A 19,769-nucleotide genomic window follows, 5' to 3' on the forward strand; every position below is an offset into this window, starting at 1 on the left:
GAAACTCATAGTGAATCTCTCTGGGAGGCAAGGTTGCTGCTGTATTTTTATACCAGCTCCTGTCAATCACTGGATGAGGGCTGGTGGTGGGGGATTGTGGAGGGGGGTTCAGTATGCCTGTACTTCCTCTCTGCTACACCAGCAAGCCAAATGAGATTTGGCACTAGAGAAAGTCTCCAGGCAAGAAATACAGTTGGAAATATATCCAGGGTACATTTAAGTAGTAAGGGCTGGGGAATACAGACAGGGTTGGCTATGCTAGGATTCTTGGGGGGAATAAGTAAAAAACTCACTGGCATTTGGGATATTAAATACAATTGATATTCAAACATTATAATAATAAACTATCTGCTTTTAAATCTCAGAGCCAAGTTATGAGTTTAGTTGGAGAATTCTGTGAAATGTAATAGTTATTTTCTATATGAACACCTATAAGGAAAGTTTACTTATTTACTTATTTTTCATCTTTTTGAGACAGGGTCTCGCTTTGTTACGCAGGCTGGAGTGCAGTGGTGCCATCATGGCTCACCGCCACCTTGATTTCCTGGGCTCAAGCAATCCTCCTATCTCAGCCTCCTAAGTAGTGGGCACTACAGGCACATGCCACTGAGCCCGGCTAATTTTTTATTTATTTATTTTTTCGTAGAGACAGGGTCTCAATATGTTGCCCAAGCTGTTCTTGAACTCCTGGGCTCAAGTGATTCTCCCACCTAGTCTTCCAAAGTGCTGAGATTACAGACCTGAGCCACCGCACCTGGCCTAAGAGAACTCTTGAAATTGGCATTGCTGGTAATGCTTTACTGTTTTCTCCACAGTCCAGAGACAACAAGTTCAGCAAGAAAGATTGTCTTTCAATCAGGAATGTTGTAGCTTCAATCCAAACCAAAGAAGGTCTGAATCTCAAGTTGATAAGTGGAGATGTTCTGTACATCTGGGTAGGTGATGCCATTTAATAAATCTACCAAGGAACAGTGGGATCTATTTAACTTGTTCTGTGAGTTGTTCCATGATTTAATTTGTTCTTTATCTTAATCAAAGATTAAAGATATCAAAGATAAATTTGAGAAGTTAAACCCACTTAAAGTTTATGCAGATATATACTTACCATCCCCTATATTCTTCCACATGTACTCATGTGGAGGGGTTCAAGTTTAACCACAAACAAGAGTTTGCAAATCTATCTCTTTTATTTCTCTGTAACTGATCTTGACTTACTCTCAACCCAGTTCTATTTTTCTCTCCTGCACCAGTCAGCATTAGTGAGGAAGATATGTGTACAGCACACTATAGAATCACCCTTCACAAACACGCCTTTGCTCCTGCCTGAGCACTTTGCAGAAACACAGGAAGAATGAGGAGGGATAAAGGTTACCAGAAGAGGTGCTAAATCCTCAGCCTGGCTCCTGCCTACCCCTCCTCTCCTACTGTTTCCTCTTCCTTGGAATCACCAGTTAACAGAAGATACAGGCCCTATATTCCTCCTATAGTTGACATCCATCGTGCTCAATCCTGGCTGCAGATCATAATCATCCGGGGGACCTTTTAAAAATACGGACTCCCAGGCCCCACCCCTAGAGATCCTGCCTTTAATTGGTCAGGGATGTGGTGTAGGCGACAATAGTTTTTGAAAGCATTCCAAGTGATTATCTTATGCAGCTAGGGCTGAGAATCACTGGTTCAGATGCTTCTTAGAATTCTATAGCCCCACCATTTGGACACCTGATGTTTACCTTCAGATGGCAGACATTCAGGACTAACAGAAAGAGAACTCTGCTGAGAAATTGGGAGACTCTTCTGGATTGTGAGCCACTGGAAATATTCTTTGCATTTGCTGTAGTTAATGGGATGGCAGAGGGGAGGCAGCCGGCTGCTTTCTTCATGTTCTCTAGAGTTTTAGAGTCCTCTGTCACGTGGGTTCAGGACCTTGTCCTCAAATCAGCAGGTTGAGAAGTTGCATCTTGTCATTTTACACAGAATTGATCTGACTCACACTAATCAAACTCAAGAGACTTACTTATAACACTGGAATTGTAATTATTTCATTTGCAATGAGAAAGATAATTGCCATGGCTACTGGTAATAGTGAGCTCTGCAACCGAGTATTATGAGAGTGATTGGTGAGTGATATAACCAGAAGAACTGGATGATATAAAAGGACAGTAAATTTATTTTTCACTCTAGTTATAGGCATAGTGTGGTGGGTAAGCAGACCAACTCTAAAGTCAGTTCTGGCAGGGTTCAAATACTGCTCCACCACTCAGCAGCCACTGATCTTGGTCAATATCCATCTTATGTCTCAGAGTTCTTATCTATAAATATGGATGATGGTGATATGAAGGTTGTTATGAGGCTTAAATGAAATAATTCATATAAACCACTTATCCCCTGCCTTGCACATAATAAGGACTCAAAAAAATGATAGCTATTATCATTATCCCCTTATGATGGGCCACTTTATATTTTACCTTACTCAATTAGTACTACAACCTAATGAAGAAATATATGACTTACCCACATTTTATAGATAAAGAAACCAAGGTCTTTTCACTATGCAGTCCACTGAGTTGATTATAAATTTCGTGTCAACTCATATTGGGGTTTACCTATTCTTACCATTGGATGGTGCTGTGTAAACTTTGGAATCCTCTTTATCTTTCTTCTCTGAATTCTTTCTCCTATCCAGTTAGTTTCCAAGCCCTAATAAGCCCTCTTTCAAAATATCTCATGTACATGTCTTTCCTTTTCATTGCCATTGTCTACCCGTGTTTCGGTACACACCACTCCCAACCTCCAATCACGCCTCAGTACTACCCTTACCTCCTTGTCACTCTTTAATCTGTCCTCTACATCACTGTTTGATATATATTCCAAAAACATTATTTTAGCAGGTACTTCTCTGCACACACATCTTCGGTGTCTTCCTACTACCTATAGGGCAAAGTCCAAAAAAGTGTGGCTTTCCAAGTACTCCATCGTCTGGCCCTAAATCTCTTCCCAGCCGCTCTTCTCACTACTGAACCTCTGCTTTAGCTAAATTTGGACTACTTTCTGATCTTTCACAATCCCATGCTTTCTTTTTTTCTTTCTCTTTTCTTTTTTTTTTTTTTTTTTTTTGATACTGAGTCTTGCTCTGTCGCCCAGGCTGGATACAGTGGTGTGATCTCGGCTCACTACAACCTCCGCCTCCTGGGTTCAAGTGATTCTCCTGCCTCAGCCTCCCAAGTAGCTGGGATTATAGGCGCCCACCACCATGCCCAGCTAATTTTTCTATTTTTAGTAGAGACCGGGTTTTGCCATGTTGGCCAGGCTGGTCTCGAACTCCTGACCTCAGGTGATCTGCCTGCCTTGGCCTCCCAAAATGCTGGGATTACAGGCATGAGCCACCACACCCGGCCACAATCCTGTGCTTTCTTAAATATTCCATGCACCTTGAATGCCTTGCTGCCTTCTTTCTACCTGACCCAATTATAGCCATTCTTCAAGGCCTATCTGAAATCTGAAATTCTTATCCCCTTTAAAAAGCCTTCACTCACTATTCCAATCTAAATGATTTCCTATCTTTTTTGAAATCTATACCAACTAATATTTGTATATTTAACAATGTCTTTTGATTATTTTGAATTGATTTAAACATTACAACAAGGTTACTTTTTTTTTTTTTTTTTGAGATAGCGTCTTGCCTTGTCACCTAGGCTGGAGTGCAGTGGCGCAGTCACGGTTCACTGCAGTCTCAACCTCCTAGGCTCAAGCAATCCTCCCACCTCAGCTTTCCAAGTAGCTGGGAATACAGGCCACTAGCTAATTTTTTTTTAATTGTAGAGACAAAGTCTCACTGTGTTGCTCAGGCTGGTCTTGAACTCCTGGGTTCAAGTGATCTTCCTGCCTCATCCTCCCAAAATGCTGGATTACAGGAGTAAACCACTACACCCAGCCTATTTTTTTACATGTTAATATATTGCTTCCCTAAACTGTGTAGGAATCAGTAAATGGAGAGTGAAACTGCAAGTGGGAGTGAGGAGAACATGGGCTAGATCTAATTTTGTTTTGTTTTGTTTTGTTTTGTTTCTTGGATGGCTTGCTCACTCTTGTCTCTGCAAGGGGCTTCTCAGATATTGAGATTAGTTTATGCTAACTTCATATAATACCTCATATGCTAACTAACATTATATAAGTGGATCCAAGAATGCCGATTATTAGGTTGAGAAATATAACCTATTATATGTCCCAGAGACATAGACATCTTTTAATTTACAATGAAGAAGAGTTCCCCAAAGAACCAGGACATTAAAAATCCACATGATCAGGCTGGGCTCATGCCAGTAATCCCAACACTTTGGGGGGCCAAGGTGGGCAGGTCACTTGAGATCAGGAGTTCAAGACCAGCCTGGCCAACATGGCAAAACCCCATCTCTACTAATAATACAAATATTAGCCAGGCATGGTGGCACATGCCTGTAATCCCCGCTACTCAGGAGGCTGAGGCATGAGAATTGCTTGAACCTGGGAGGCAGAGGGTGCAGTGAGCCGAGATCATGCCACTGCACTCCAGCCCTGGGAACAGATCGAAATCGTGTTTAAAAAAAAAAAAATTAAAAAAAAAAAAGGCCACACGATGAGAGTGTTTGTCTCCTCTTACTCCCAACTTACCAGGGAATCAGAAGGTTTCTGGTGAGCACAAAATCTGAGTAATAGGAGTTATGAGTTGAATATGTAACATCTCATGGCATTAGGCTATGACCCTCACTTCACCAAAGGAACAGCCTTAGCATTGACACTGGAGAACTCAACATCCCTGGACAGGCTAGAATGGATACTGCCTACCCTCACCTTAGTGACTTTCCTTTGCCAAGGCCTTCAGGGCCGACCATACCCTCCTTCACATTGACCTAGTCTTTCTTTTGGTATATTGTTAAATTCAAAACAAGTATTCTCAGTTCCTGCCAGGCTGAGAGCAATTCTTTCTCCCTTCCCCTGTCTCTCTGTCTCAATCTTTCTGTGTTTTTGTTTCTGTCTGTCTCTGTCTCTGTTTTTCACTTTCATTTTTCTTCTTTCTCCATTTCTCTCTCTCAGTCTTCGTCTCTGACTCTCTGCCTCTGGTCTCTGACTCATTTTCATAGCTCTACTCTGACTCATTACGTGTTGATTTCACAGCAGTGGTTAATATATTTCCTTAATGTCTAAGTTTTGGAAGTAACCTCATCATGGTGTTTCAGTGCTAACAATAGACTGTAAGCTCCTTGAGGGTGGGGCTGACATGTTAGTATGACAGGCAAAACATATCTGTACATTACCCCACAATACTTAGTAAATTTACAGTTGCTCCATCATTATGTATTATTGATTCAATCTCTAACTGTTGCTATTTTCGTTAAGGCCGATGTCATTGTCAACAGCGTTCCCATGAATCTTCAGCTTGGAGGAGGACCACTATCTCGGGCATTTTTGCAGAAAGCTGGTCCCATGCTCCAGAAAGAGTTAGATGACAGAAGGCGGGAAACAGAGGAAAAAGTAGGTAACATATTCATGACAAGCGGCTGCAATCTGGACTGCAAAGCTGTGCTCCATGCTGTGGCTCCATACTGGAATAATGGAGCAGAGACTTCTTGGCAGGTAGGGAACGCTCTTAGTTCTCCAACGTATTGGGTGGCTTTGGGAATCTCCTTCTGGTGTGGTATAGATCTGTGCTCAAGGGAAGCAATTTTGCCCCACAGAGGACAGTTGGGTTGTTACAACTGCTGCTGGTATCTAGTGGGTAGAAGCGAGGGATGCTGGTAAATATTCTATGATGCACACACCAGCCCCCACAACAAAGAAGTGTCTGCCCTAGGCTGTGAAACCCTCGTATTGATTGAACCCTGTCTATCTATTGAAATCTTTATTACATTCCATGGAGAATTCATCACAACTACCAGTTATTTCCAAGTAATTGACCCTTGGAGGTAGTAACATTCATTGGGATTCTACAGGAGTGGTGTCTAAGTTGTAATGTAATAATCTTTCAGTACAGCAAAGAGGTGCGCCCAGCACTGTGGTGAAGAAGAAAAAAGAGTCAGTGCCCTTCTTTCGATAACATCATTCCCACCTCCACTACCAGTTTAATTTCCCAACTTTTTTTCAGAATATAAAAAAGTAATACAAATACATTGTGGAAAATATAGAAAAGTACAAAAAGACAATAAAAATAATAATCCAACCACCAAGAGATAACTGTTTTCTTCTTCTTCTTTTTGAGACCGAGTTTCGCTCTGTTGCCCAGGCTGGAGTGCAGTGGGGCGCCATCTCAGCTCATTGCAACCTCCTCTCTGCCTCCCGGGTTCAAGTGATTCTCCTGCCTCAGCCTCCTGAATAGCTGGGATTACAGGTGCCCACCACGGGGCCTGGCTAATTTTTGTATTTTTAGTAGAGACGGGGTTTCACCATGTTAGCCAGGCTGGTCTCAAACTCCTGACCTCAAGTGATCCACCCGCCTCAGCCTCCCAAAGTGCTGGGATTACAGGCATGAGCTACTGTGCCTGGCCTTAAGAGGTAACTTTAGTTAACATTTTACTATATTTCCTTCAAGTCAACTTTATGACTTTATGCATATTTATTTATTTATTTATTTATTTTTTGAGATGGAGTTTTGCTCTTGTTGCCCAGGCTGGAGTGCAATGGCACAATCTTGGCTCACCGCAGCCTCCGCCTCCCGGGTTCAAGCAATTCTCCTGCCTCAGCCTCCCGAGTAGCTAGGATTATAGGCATGTGCCACTACACCTGGCTAATTTTGTATTTTTAGTAGAGATGGGATTTCTCCATGTTGGTCAGGCTGGTCTTGAACTCCCGACTTCAGGTGATCTGCCTGCTTCATCCTCCCAAAGTGCTGGGATTACAGGTGTGAGCCACCACAACTGGACAGCATATTTATGTCTTAGTTGAGATTCTCTTTCTCTCTCTTCTTTTTTTTTCTTTTAATTGAAACAGGGTCCCACTCTATTGCCCAGGCTGGAGTGCAGTGGCGCGATCTTACCTCACTGCAACCTCCACCTCCTGGGCTCAGGTGATCCTCCTACCTCAGCCTCCCGAGTAGCTGGGACAACAGGCACACATCACCATCCCTGGCTAATTTTTGTGTTTTTGTAAAGATGGGGTTTCACCATGTTGCCCAGGCTGGTCTTGAACTCAAGGACTCAAGCGATCTGCCCACCTCAGCCTCCCAAAGTGCTGGGATTACAGGTGTGAACCACTGTGTTAGGCCCAATATTCTCTCTCTTTTTTTTTTTTTTGAACCAATATTCTCTTTAAACATTTTTAAATACAGTTTTTTTGTTTTTGTTTTTGTTTTTGCTTTTGAGACGGAGTCTTGCTCTGTCACCCAGGCTGGAGTTGGAGTACAGTGGCGCAATCTTGGCTCACTGCAAGCTCCGCCTGCCAGGTTCACGCCATTCTCCTGCCTCAGCCTCCCAAGTAGCTGGGACTACAGGCGCCTGCCACCACGCCTGGCTAATTTTGTTTTTGTATTTTTAGTAGAGACGGGGTTTCACTGTGTTAGCCAGGATGGTCTCGATCTCCTGACCTCATTATCTGCCTGCCTCAGCTTCCCAAAGTGCTGGGAGCCACCGCGCCCTGCCAATACATTTTTTTTTTAACTTAACATAAATACTGCATGTTGTTAAAGACTCTTCATAAACACCACTTTTAGTTACATTGAGCTACCATTTTTATGCAGCCATTCCCACGCTGTTGGACCCGCCTCTCCTGAATGAGTGTGACTCTCTCTGGAAAGTACTCTGCCCTGTTTTTGTTTCCTCTTTCTGACTTCTCAGGCCCTGACTAAGCCAACAATAGCAGAGAGGTCCTTGTCAGAGTTGCTGGGACCACAACTCTTTCTGTTTTCCGCTAGCTTAAGCCCTAACTTATGTAAATGTACTTTGCACATTTCAGATCATGGCAAATATAATCAAGAAATGTTTGACAACTGTAGAAGTGCTATCTTTCTCATCAATCACATTTCCCATGATTGGAACAGGAAGTTTGCAGTTTCCCAAAGCTGTTTTTGCTAAACTAATCCTTTCAGAAGTGTTCGAATACAGTAGCAGCACAAGGCCGATAACTAGCCCTTTACAAGAAGTCCACTTTCTGGTATATACAAATGACGATGAAGGCTGTCAGGTATGGTTACATATCCCATCTGGTTAATTCTGGCAAGTGAACCCAAGCGCATTCAGATGTTTTTATAGATCTAGGAATAACCGTGTTTTCTAATCCTGTGCCTATAAGTGATGGTTGCTAATGGGAGGTTGTCATATGACTTAACTATGAGCCAACACTGATAACTCATGTTCCTAGACAGTTCATCAAGAGACAAGCTAATCTGTAATAAATACATTCTTAGAAAGAAGTGGAAAGTTATTGGCATAAAAATGGCCTAGACATTTTAACACTGACTACATGAAAGCTAAGTCATGGCTTTATCTATGGGGAAAGGGCAGAATGAGAGAAGCCTCAAGGATTTAGTTATTTGGATAGCATAGACCAGTCTACACAAGTCTGTGAGTGTCTACAAACTAGAAATAGCAGCACCATATTCAGCAGTGGAGAAGCAGTCAAGGCACACTAACTAAGTAGTTCCCACTGACATTAGAAGAATGGTATACTTAGGTTTAATCTCAGTTTTGCCATTTAAAAGTTGGGTGACATACCTCTCTGAATCTCAGCTTTTTTTTTTTTTTTTTTTTTTTTTGAGACAGAGTCTCGTTCTGTTACCCAGGCTGGAGTGCAGTGGTGTGATCTCGGCTCACTGCAGCGGCGTGATCTCAGCTCAATGCAGCCTCCGCCTCCTGGGCTCAAGCAATCCTCCCATCTTAGCCTCCCTAGTAGCTGGGATTACAGGCATGTGCTACCACGCTCGGCTAATTTTTGTATTATTAGTAGAGATGGGGTTTCTCCATGTTGGCCAGGCTGGTCCTGACCTCAGGTGATCCACCCACCTCAGCCTCCCAAAGTGCTGGGATTACAGGCGTGAGCCACTGTGCCCAGCCTGAATCTCAGTTTTATCAAGTGTAAGATGAGTGTGGTAATAACACCTTTCGGAATTGTTCTAACTATTAAAACGGGTGTATTTGAAGTGTTTTGCATGATATCTAGCACATAGAAAACCCCCAAAACTGGTAGTAGTCATTACCCAACTTTAAGGACTGACAAGCAATTGCTACAACTTACTAACATCACCACTTAAACTGGATCAAAGATAATTTTGTTTTTTAAGTTCTTAGTTATACTTACCCATTCTGGATGGAAGTGTGGTCTTTCCAGAGATGTTTCCCAGAGTTCCCCAGAAACACTCCAAAGTATTGCATGATGTAGTTTGTAAGCAAATTTATCCATAGGAAATAATAATAATATTTTAAAAAACAACATTTACCCCCAAAGGTTCTTAGTTTTTTTCCCCCGGTAAATATAAAATATCCAGAGACATATTTTTTTGCTCAAAGATAAACTGGGGGAAATTATTATTAGCAAACTGTTCGTGATATCTGTGTCCTTGTTGAGTTCACAATAACATCTGCCCTTTATTGGGGTGACATCTTCAGTAGCAATCTGGAAAGTAACTGCCCCAAATTTCATTGTTAACCAAGAATTAGAAACATGGACTGGTGCAGTGGCTCACGCCTATAATCCCAGCACTTTGGGAGGCTGAGGCAGGGGGATTGCTTGAGTCCAGGAGTTCAAAACCAGCCTGTGCCACATGGCAAAACCTCATCTCTACAAAAAATACAAAAAATTAGCCGGGCGTGGTGGTGTACATCTGTAGTCCCAGCTACTTGGGAGGCTGAGGTGGGAGGATCAGTTGAGTCCAGGGGGTTGAGGCTGCAGTGAGTCAAGATCATGCCACTGCACTCCAGCCTGGGCAACAGAATGAGACTCTGTCTGCAAAAAAAAAAAAAAAAGAAAAGAAAAGAAAAGAAAGAAAGAAAGAGAAAAAGAAAAAGTAGAAACAGTCCCAAAGATACCTGAAAAGAAAGAAAATGGATGAAGACAACCCAAGTGAAACTTTATAACTCTACTCTGTCGCCCATTGCTCAATTTTATCACTCACACGACCAAAATGCCTTTTTGTTTTTTCCATTTCTAAACAAAACTTCAATGTCTGAGGTTTTCTAACGTGGATTTTCGTGTTTTCATTCAGGAGGCTTTGGCTGGACCTAAGAGATGAAGCATACTGTATGTATTTGTTGTTAATCAACCCCAGAATGTACCTAACAGCCAAAGATGCCAAGGAACGTTGTTGCCCTGCCCCCTGCTCACCTACAAATACTCTACACTTCCCTCAGCCTATTGGATGTAGGAGATTAGAATTATGGGGCTTCAAAAGAGGAGGGATAACGATAGTGGTCACAAAAAAGGCATGTGACTTCCTGCAGAGCCACAGTCAGCACCCCTGCTGACATACTTGCCTGGACAGTGTTAGTTTACTCACAAAGTAAAGCAAATCAGCACTGCTATTTGTGGAGAAAATTCCTAGGTTGAACCGCAATCCTTTAAGAAGTCTCTGAGGGAAGAGGAAATATTTTGAGAACTATTGTTATCAACTCTTTGATATCTGATGATCAATGCTCCAAAGAATTGGATTAATATTTTTACACAATATTGTTGTAGTCAGTAACTGTTTCTATTTCCAGGCATTTTTAGATGAATTCACTAACTGGTCAAGAATAAATCCCAACAAGGCCAGGATTCCCATGGCAGGAGATACCCAAGGTCTGGTAAAGTCGTTCTGCTAAGGAAATATTTCCTTTTGCTGAGCAACTCTTCAGTGGTAGTTGAAGTCCAGTAGAAGTAGGCAAAGCTAATTCACATGAAGAACAAATCTGTGATGGGGGAGGTGTTAGAGCATGTCCCATTGTCTGGGCACACAAAGAAGCAATCGCATATTAACATGAACCAAATTAATGGTAATGAAACCAGAGTTTCTAAGAAATGGTAATAAAATAATAACTAAACCGTGCCTGGCACACTATACTTTACTGATTGCTTTCATATATAGTATATTATTTAACGTGTACAATGGCCCCGTGGCAGGTGGTTCTGTTGCCACTGTATAAACGTTGAAAGGTAGATCTAAAGGGTTTAAGGGATGAGCTGAAGTGGCACAGCTAAGTTGTAAGCCTCAGAGTGTGGAGTGGAGAGTAATATGCCAACAGGTTAAAGGTAACTTCCTCTGAGCAGTCTTTTTTTTTTTTTTTTTTTTGAGATGGAGTCTTGCTCTGTCACCCAGGATGGAGTGCAGTGGCGTGATCTTGGCTCACTACAAACCCCGCCTCCTGGGTTCAAGCAATCCTCCTGCTTCAGTCTCCCGAGTAGCTGGGATGACAGGTGTGCACCACCACACCCAGCTAATTTTTCTGTATTTTTAGTAAACACACGGTTTCACCATGTTGACCAAGCTGGTCTCGAACTCCTAACCTCAAGTGATCCTCCCACCTCAGCCTCCCAAAGTGCTGGGATTTTGGAGCAGCCTTTATATTGCTACACCTGTGGTAATAAAAGACCCTCCTAGCAGTGTTGTCTGCAAGAAAGGACAGTGCCCTTTTCACACTCCCTTTTTTTTCTCACTCCTCTCTCTTGACACCCCAGCAGCTCTTGCCAGTAAACAGACTGACACTATCGGATATTTCTGCCTTATCCTATGTAACTCAGAAAATGTAGATATGCTTACTGTCACAAAGCGTTATTTTCTAATTTCCTTTAAAAAGAAAACCAAGCTGTTTAAGAGGCCAGGAGATGTGGCAATATTTCGGTTTATGTTGGGGGAAAAGAAAGAGGGCTGAGCTGGGAAGAGAATAGGGCCCCAAGATGAGTGCTGTTCCTCCAGAAGCTGAGCCAGCCCATTCTTTACCTATTTTCTTTCTTTTCAGGTGTGGTCGGGACTGTCTCTAAGCCTTGTTTCACAGCATATGAAATGAAAATCGGTGCAATTACTTTTCAGGTTGCTACTGGAGATATAGCCACTGAACAGGTAGATGTTATTGTAAACTCAACAGCAAGGACATTTAATCGGAAATCAGGTACTTTATTTAAGCAATATATTGTAATTATTAGTATGACTAATTTCTGGAAGGGAAATTGTGGCTAATATTTGCCCTGAGTGGACAGAGAGTGTTGTAGAAAATATGTGGTCTCTGAACTCAGGAAGACGTGGGTTGAATCCCAGCTATGCCACTTAGCAATGTGTAGCTGTGGACAAGTCACTTAACCTCTCTGAGTGTCAGTTTCTTTGCCTGTCAAACACCTATTTCCCAGGAGAGGATTAGATGGGGTGTTAACTGATATAAAGGTGGAGTTTAACTGACGCATTGTACTTAGTGTCAGCTCTCAACTGTTGAATTTCCACAAGTATAGTTTAGTACCTCTAAGTTCCTCTATTTTTACTTTCCTGTTTATGTAACCTACTTGGCATTTAGAACTCACCTTCGGTAGCTCTTCTCTTCTCTGCATTACACTGACCGAGAAATGAAACGCAACCGTTTTTCTTTATTTTCCGTGACATGTTTGACTCCCATTATAGTAACACATTCGGGCAGGCCCTCCCCTCATATGTCTATTAATTTATAACTTATACACATACACTCAACCTTTTTGGGTTTTTTGAGGCGGAGTCTCACTCTGTCGCCCAGGCTGGAATGCAGTGGTGCAATCTTGGCTCACTGCAACCTCTGCCTCCCGGGTTCAAGTGATTCTCATGCCTTAGCCTCCTGAGTAGCTGGGACTACAGGCATGTGCCACCCCCTAATTTATTTATTTATTTATTTTTTAGTAGAGATGGGGTTTTGCCATGTTGGCCAAGCTGGTCTGGAACTCCTGACCTCAGGTGATCTGCCTGTCTTGGCCTCCCTAAGTGCTGGGATTACAGGTGTGAGCCACCATGCCCAGCCCTCTTAAACTTTTGTATATTATAAAATGTTGACTTTTAAATTAAAAGGGTAAAATAAAACGGAAATAGAATTTAAATATTTTCTAAGTTGAAAAATATTATGGAACTTACCATGCAGAAGTGAATCTGTAGAATATCCATTTAATTCATTGGTCATTCCATTTTTCAGTCATTTAAAATGTAGACATAAAGAACATTTGGTTATTTGAAACATGCTAAGTTGAATCTATGCATTTATCCCTGTCCCCTTTTGGAATTCCATTATGTATTACAGTATACAGTTGTATACTGTAAAGGAATGAAAAGGATATAAACACACAAGAAAAAAGAACGTTGGAAGGAAAACAACTATGAACAAAAGATAACAAATTTTTAGACGATGGGGAGCTGCTAGCCAAGGGTGGTAACTGCCATGGAGTAGAGAAAATTTAGTACCTGCAGGCGAGAAGAGTAGCCCCAGAGACACAGGAATTAGAGGCTGCTGGTATCTGGGAAGGCAGGGGGCAAGTACAGAGATGAAAATAAGATTGAATGAAATTCCAGATCAGTAGCAGTTAGACTACTTGATTGGATCCTCCATCCTATACAGCAGTAACTTTCCTTGCTCTTCCCTGGCCAGAGATGGGAGGTTTATTCTCTAGAGAAACAGAACCAGAGGGATTTTGGACTTAGGGCACCAGGCATAGGTGAGATGAGGAGCTAGGCTGAAAACTGTTTAAGAGAACATCTGTGGACCAAACATCGAGTGCCCAGCCCCTCTCCTGCATGGATCCCAGAGCAGCAGACAGGAGGTGCTGCCTGCTCGCCTTACACTGAAGCCCGCTGGTCAACAAGCCTTCTTGCATAGAGCTTCTAAGCTCACTCTTAAATAGGAATGGACTGGTGAAGATCACTTGACATTTGAGGAAAATCTTCACAGCAAAGACAGAGACCAGAACAAACAAATTGAAAAGAGATTTTTTTAAAAAGAGACATTTTATAACACATATATAATCAAGGATATAGAGATATAGATATCTTCATAATGATAAAACAACTAACATTCATTCAATATTTTCTGCATGCCGGCTTCTGTGCTAAGCATTTTTCATCCATTATCTCTTTTAATGTACAAATAACCCTGTGAGGGAAGTGCCATATTAGCCTCTGTGTAACAGATGAGGAACTTATTAGTCACATACTAGCTAGTAAATACTGGAGTCAACTTCAACCCAATTTGTCAAAATGCAAAGTCCATATTTTTAACGACTCGACCCAGCTGTCATTAGACTTGACCAAAGTGGTGAAGCTACGACTTTGACTGGAAGATTCACTGGAGTGAAACCAGCTGTTTAACTGAGCAGGGCAGGGAATCAAAGAACTTAGTAAAGTGCTTGATTTTATTACAGTTTTGAGATCCATGCTTCTCAGTATCAGAACTTTTATTTTTATAGTTTCATTCGTTTTTACAAAATAATAAGGGTAGAATGCAAAAAATTTCAAATAACTGCAAAAACAGTCCTGTATAAATAGAGAAGGTAAAGTTGCAGACGCCAGCCTTTCAGCTCCTGGGCACTTCCATGGCACTGAGATCAGACTGTTCATCAGCCACTGGGTGGAGGTTGCTATAGAAAGAGCAGTTGGTCGGGCGTGGGGGTGGTCAATGGATTATGCACAAAAGGGTGAGTTGAGCAGAAGTCTAATGTACAAAAACTATAACCACTTATTGAATTCTAACTGATGCCTTTTACCATTAACATGTCTTATTTAGGTGTGTCAAGAGCTATTTTAGAAGGTGCTGGACAAGCTGTGGAAAGTGAATGTGCTGTACTAGGTATGGGCACATGTTACTTTTGACTACAAACTTGAAAATCAGAGGGCTGAGATTACAGTGAGAGGATGTACAGGAGGACTGGAGGTGGAGTAAGTAGCGAGCAAAACTTTGCAAGAAGGTTGGTTCACTGGAAGAGCAGGCAGAGGTGGTGGAACTTGGAGGCTATGGGGGAGAGGTTCTTCATCCCACCATCTCATCTGTCTCTTACTTCCTGAGTAGTAAAAAGAACCCAGGCCTGGGTCCTAATAATCCAGGCTCTGCCATTTACTGAGCGATCCTAGGCACGTCATCTAACTGCTAAGAGCTTTGCTTCTCTCATCAGTAGGAAAGTTCTACTAATAAGTAGTGTGGGAAAGCTGTGCCACAGGTGGTTTTGAGGATCAGAAGGAACAATTAATGTGAAAAGTTCTGTAAACTGTGAAGTGCTGTACAAACTTTCCCCAAACTTGTTCTACTTCTTCCAGCACAACTGCATATAGCCAACTTCTAATCCTTTTATGAATGAGTGTGGACTTTGAGTGGGGAACCTAAGGTAGTGATTATAAACTGTTTGTCCTTCAAAATATCCCTTGCAGAGTAGGGTAGACACTCAGCTATGAGTATGCTTTCAAGAAGTCATAGAGCACCATGTTTGACAATGTATTCCCACAACCGACCTGCTACAATGCCTGAAACTCCTATCTTAGTAGCTGTCCTCTGATTAAGAAATTTCTCTGGAGTGAATACAGTTCTGGAGTGACAGCAAAGGAAGGTAATATTTGATTACTAACATGAGGACGTTAGCAGGTGTTTGAGTACTGGGAGAGCTCGCTGTGCCTGGGAGGCAGGAGCAGAGGATGAAGGTGGGCTGGACAAGCTGGAAAAGCCTGAGGAGGCTGCCTGGGAGGGGAGGGTGGGAGGGACACCCGAGGGGCCCTAGGGAGTGCCTGGTCATGGGTGCTCCTCAGGAGGGCAGGATGGGATGGGCAGGGATCCACTCTCCTCCTCCCTTTTGCTGGCCCCAGCCTTACTCAGAGCAGTCTGAACCAAAGAAGCAGTGCCTTAAAATGGCCCTCATAATTTCCATGTGCTCAAGAGCTCTAGGGTCCTGAGCCAAGGAGAAGTTTTCATCCTTTCACACCTCTGTGCCACAGAGTACGTTGCTTTTATCTCCTTCAAAATTAATGTGGCTGAATGTGCATAGAAATTGCTCTTCTGGGACAGCAGAGTGGGGGTTAAGAGCTATGGAGACTGGCTGCTTGGGTTCGAGTCCTAGGCAATCTTTAGCTACTGACCTTACCTCTCTCTGTGGCTGTTTCATGTGTGTAATGGGGAAAACAGTACCTGCCTCATAGGCTTGTTTTGAGGATTGAGCAGATTGATGCAGATAAAGTACTTTTGAACAGCACCCCAAATACTCAACAGTGTATTTGTTGAGCTCGAGAATTCTGATTGTAAAGAAAATGTGGTTGTCACAGTCCAGTGAATGAAACCAACAAGCTCGAGTGAGACTGGGCTTCACAGCCTTCACGGATGTCAGCTGTTTTCATTTCTCAAAAATCAAAGTGTTGCCTCCAGTAATTAATGGGCTGCATGTTTGTTTTTCTTTCCTTTTTTTCAGCTGCACAGCCTCACAGAGATTTTATAATTACACCAGGTGGATGCTTAAAGTGCAAAATAATAATTCATGTTCCTGGGGGAAAAGATGTCAGGAAAACGGTCACCAGTGTTCTAGAAGAGTGTGAACAGAGGAAGTACACATCGGTTTCCCTTCCAGCCATTGGAACAGGTTTGCAGCTTATCATTCTATAATAAAATTTGAGTGATACAAATTCCTTTAGAATTAGTCTCACTCTTAAGCAGATCAGTGCTGAATCCATCTGAAAGTGGGAACAATGATGTAAATCAGAGAGGGAGCCATCTTTTAGATCTGGAGGGCACCACCAGCTACTGGGCCGAAGCCTCTTTCCTCCATCTTTCTTCTTTATTTTTTCAAGACAGAGTCTCACTCTGTTGCCCAGGCTGGAGTGCAGTGGTGTAATCTCAGCTCACTGCAACCTCCTCCTCCCAGGCTCACGCAATCCTCCCACTTCAGCCTCCCAAATAGCTAGGACCACAGGTGTGTACCACCATGCCTGGCAAATATTTGTATTTTTTATGGAGACAGCGTTTCCCCATGTTGCCCACGCTGGTCTCAAACTCCTAGGCTCAAGCAATCCGCCTGCCTCAGCCTCCCTAAGTGCTGGGATTACAGGCATGGGCCACTGTGCCCACCCCTTTCTTCTTTATTTTATGTTCCCTAAGTATCTTTCCAAGTTTGGTCCTTAACTTCATAGTTTTCTCACTCTTCATTTTTTCTCCTTGGGGGATTCATTCAGTCTCATGTCTGGTAACATTTCTGCATTGACTCCCAAATCAGCATTTCTCATTCTCTCCAGGATCTCCTCTGGGGGAGTTTTCTATTACCAGAAACTTCATTACATCAGAATCCAAACTCATGATCCTCTCTTGAAAACAGACACTCCTCTTGAGCTCCTGGGCTTTCTCGTTTCCTCCTTTGGTGGTGCCATGACGCTCCCAGCTGCCCTGGCCTGCCATCCTTGCTTTGTTGTGTCCCCAGACACCCACAGTCAGCAAGTCCTGCTGAATCTTCTTCCAGAGAGTTGTTGAATTCCAGCCTTTCTTTTTGTTTCCAAACTCTTCAGACCTCCCCCATCTGGTTTACTTCAGCATCTCCCAGCCGGCTCCTCATTTGTGCATTCATTCATTGAATTGAAATGCCGTTACCTAGGCTCTGTGCAAGGCACTGGGGAGAAAATCATGAGTAAGATGCAGTCACTCCCCATGAGCAACAAACTCAGGTTTGTCCTGCTCACAGTTTCTAGGAACGCTTTCCTCATCTCTGTCATATCATCCAGTCATTTGCTCTTCTTAGTTGACAGTGCTACTGGTCACTCACTTCCTGATTCATTCACATCCATGTCCCCTGTCACTCTCATGGAAGTGAGGGCTTCTTATTTGGGAAGTATTAATAGTATGTAGCCACAGATTACCATTAATCTAAGAGAGTTTTTCAGCAATTAAATTCCTGGTCTTACAGCCACCACCATCATTTTAGCTCAACTCTGTAGACTTCCTTCCTCTTCCCAGATTAAAACAGAATGCTCCTGCAGGTATCCCAGGTCCCTCTCGTATGAACCCCAGGGCACCCTGCAATGTTTGCAGTACATTCTTCCTGGCTTCCACACACCGATAACCTTTTGTTATAACCTTTTGCTATCGGCGGTAATGAGGCCAATAGGGAAGCCAGGGGGAACGTGCTGCAGGCATTTTGTTACCACTTTTTGTTTCTTTTATTCATGCATTTCTCCCGATCTGGAGCTTCTCCCACACCATCTGGCAAATTACAGCTCTCACAAACCCAAATTGTTTTGTTCCCATCACCCAGGGCAAGCACTCTGCTACTTGGCACTGGGCAAACAGAGTGGAGTAAGCTCTGGCCCCTTCAGGAATTCATGATTTTGGAACAGATGCAAGACATTGTAACCAAGAATGATACCCAATGCAGAGGTCACAGGTGTAGGTGTGTTCAGCCACATAGTGGGAAGGGTTGCAACTGGATAGGTGGAATGAGCCTGTCAAGGGACTGCATACAGAAAGAGAAGAGGGCTGAGACCAGAACAGTGAGAAATGCCCACAGGTAGATTGTGGCAGGGAAAGGGCAGAAAAGTCAGCAAAAGAACCAACCAATAATCGTAAGTGTTGGAGGAGAGTAAGTGCAAAGCCCCAGAGGAGGAAGTGGGAGGCCATGAAATGCTTGTGCCACACCTCTTCGACTGTGAATACATTGTGAGATCCTCAAAAGGGAAGGACCAGATCTTTATGTCTTCTCTGCCCCGTGTTGAGTGAAGAATCATTGCCCATTAAATTTTGTTGAATGGAGGAATGAATAACAGGTGATTTTGATGATGCCTTCAGAGATGCTCATGGATGTTCTCTTCCCCATTGATTTCAACGGACATTTTTGGAATGTTTCTCAGACCTGGCTCAGGGGCTCACGCCTGTAATCCTAGCACTTTGCGGGGCTGAGGCGGGTGGATCACTTGATTGCTTGAGGTCAGGAGTTCGAGACCAGCCTGGCCAACATGTTGAAACCCTGTCTCTACTAAAATAGAAAAATTAGCCAGGCGTGGTGGCGGACACCTCTAGTCTCAGCTACTCAGGAGGCTGAGGTGGGAGAATCACTTGAATTCGGGAGGCAGAGGTTGCAGTGAGCTGAGATTGCACCACTGCACTCCAGCATGGGCAACAAAGTGAGACTCTATCTCGGAAAAAAAAAAAGAAAGAAAGAAAAAATAAATGCTTACTAGACGCAGTCTATTTTGAGTACCACTAAACTCCTATGAAGTAGCTGGAATAGCTACATTAGTTGTATTAGTAATATTAATAATTGCTAAGATTTATTGAGTCCTTACTGTACGTTCTAGGTGTTTTACATGTCAAAGCTCATGTATTCCTCACAGTAACCTTATATAGGGTGATCAATTCTTTCGAGTTTGACCAGGACTTTCCTGGTTTTAACACAGAAAGTCCCATGTTGCAGGCAGCCTCTCTGCTCTGGGGAAACTGGGAGGGTTGGTCTTCATACCTGTGACATGGAAACTATTAGCAAAGACAAGTTTATTGTGAAGATAATGAAGCTTAAGTGATCAGACTTCACTTGCACAGGCTTTTTAAAAGATCCTGAGAGGAGCCCTAATAATGTCTTCACCTGGTTATATGACTTAGTAAAATTTCAAAAGTAGGATATTTTAACCATCATGAATTAAGACCACTGTTTCCCCCACTTTGACGTCTCATACTTCCCCTTGCACTGAGTGATGCTGGGGTGGCTGTAAACATTTATGCGATACAGCTAAGGAAAGTTGCGTTAGGAATCTAATTTTCAGCATTTTAAAAGATACACTTTGTTGTGGTTTCTTTTCTGATTCTAAATATTCACCATTATACATAATTGTATACTTATTCTTTTTCTGAGATATGTAAATTTCAAAACCTGGATCCATC

General features: G+C 42.7%; 1 protein-coding gene across 17 annotated transcripts in view, besides 1 other annotated feature; it reads left to right on the forward strand.

Annotated features, from left to right (window-relative positions):
- PARP15 (poly(ADP-ribose) polymerase family member 15) overlaps nucleotides 1-19,769 on the forward strand; it is a 61,398-nt gene that overhangs the window by 27,471 nt on the left and 14,158 nt on the right. For 2 of the 17 annotated variants that reach the window (NM_001113523.3, XM_005247159.5), the window contains exons 2-8: nucleotides 816-935; nucleotides 5,374-5,610; nucleotides 7,921-8,148; nucleotides 10,659-10,737; nucleotides 11,895-12,044; nucleotides 14,661-14,723; nucleotides 16,324-16,491. In NM_001113523.3, the coding sequence (NP_001106995.1) occupies nucleotides 816-935; nucleotides 5,374-5,610; nucleotides 7,921-8,148; nucleotides 10,659-10,737; nucleotides 11,895-12,044; nucleotides 14,661-14,723; nucleotides 16,324-16,491 (1,045 nt within the window). Of the gene's footprint in view, nucleotides 1-815; nucleotides 936-5,373; nucleotides 5,611-7,920; nucleotides 10,738-11,894; nucleotides 12,045-14,660; nucleotides 14,724-15,298; nucleotides 15,588-16,323; nucleotides 16,492-19,769 lie in introns of those variants that run through there. The other 15 variants (XM_011512476.4, XM_047447580.1, XM_005247160.5 and 12 more) reach the window with 10 other exon arrangements.
- Nucleotides 4,927-5,136: an enhancer, noted in NCBI's record as "active region_20380". NCBI's record gives its function as "activates an Ori minimal core promoter by ATAC-STARR-seq in GM12878 lymphoblastoid cells {active_cell/tissue: GM12878}" and the evidence as "EXISTENCE:reporter gene assay evidence [ECO:0000049][PMID:35858748]".

This window comes from Homo sapiens, chromosome 3 (assembly GCF_000001405.40).
Source record: "Homo sapiens chromosome 3, GRCh38.p14 Primary Assembly".
NCBI lineage: Eukaryota > Metazoa > Chordata > Mammalia > Primates > Hominidae > Homo > Homo sapiens.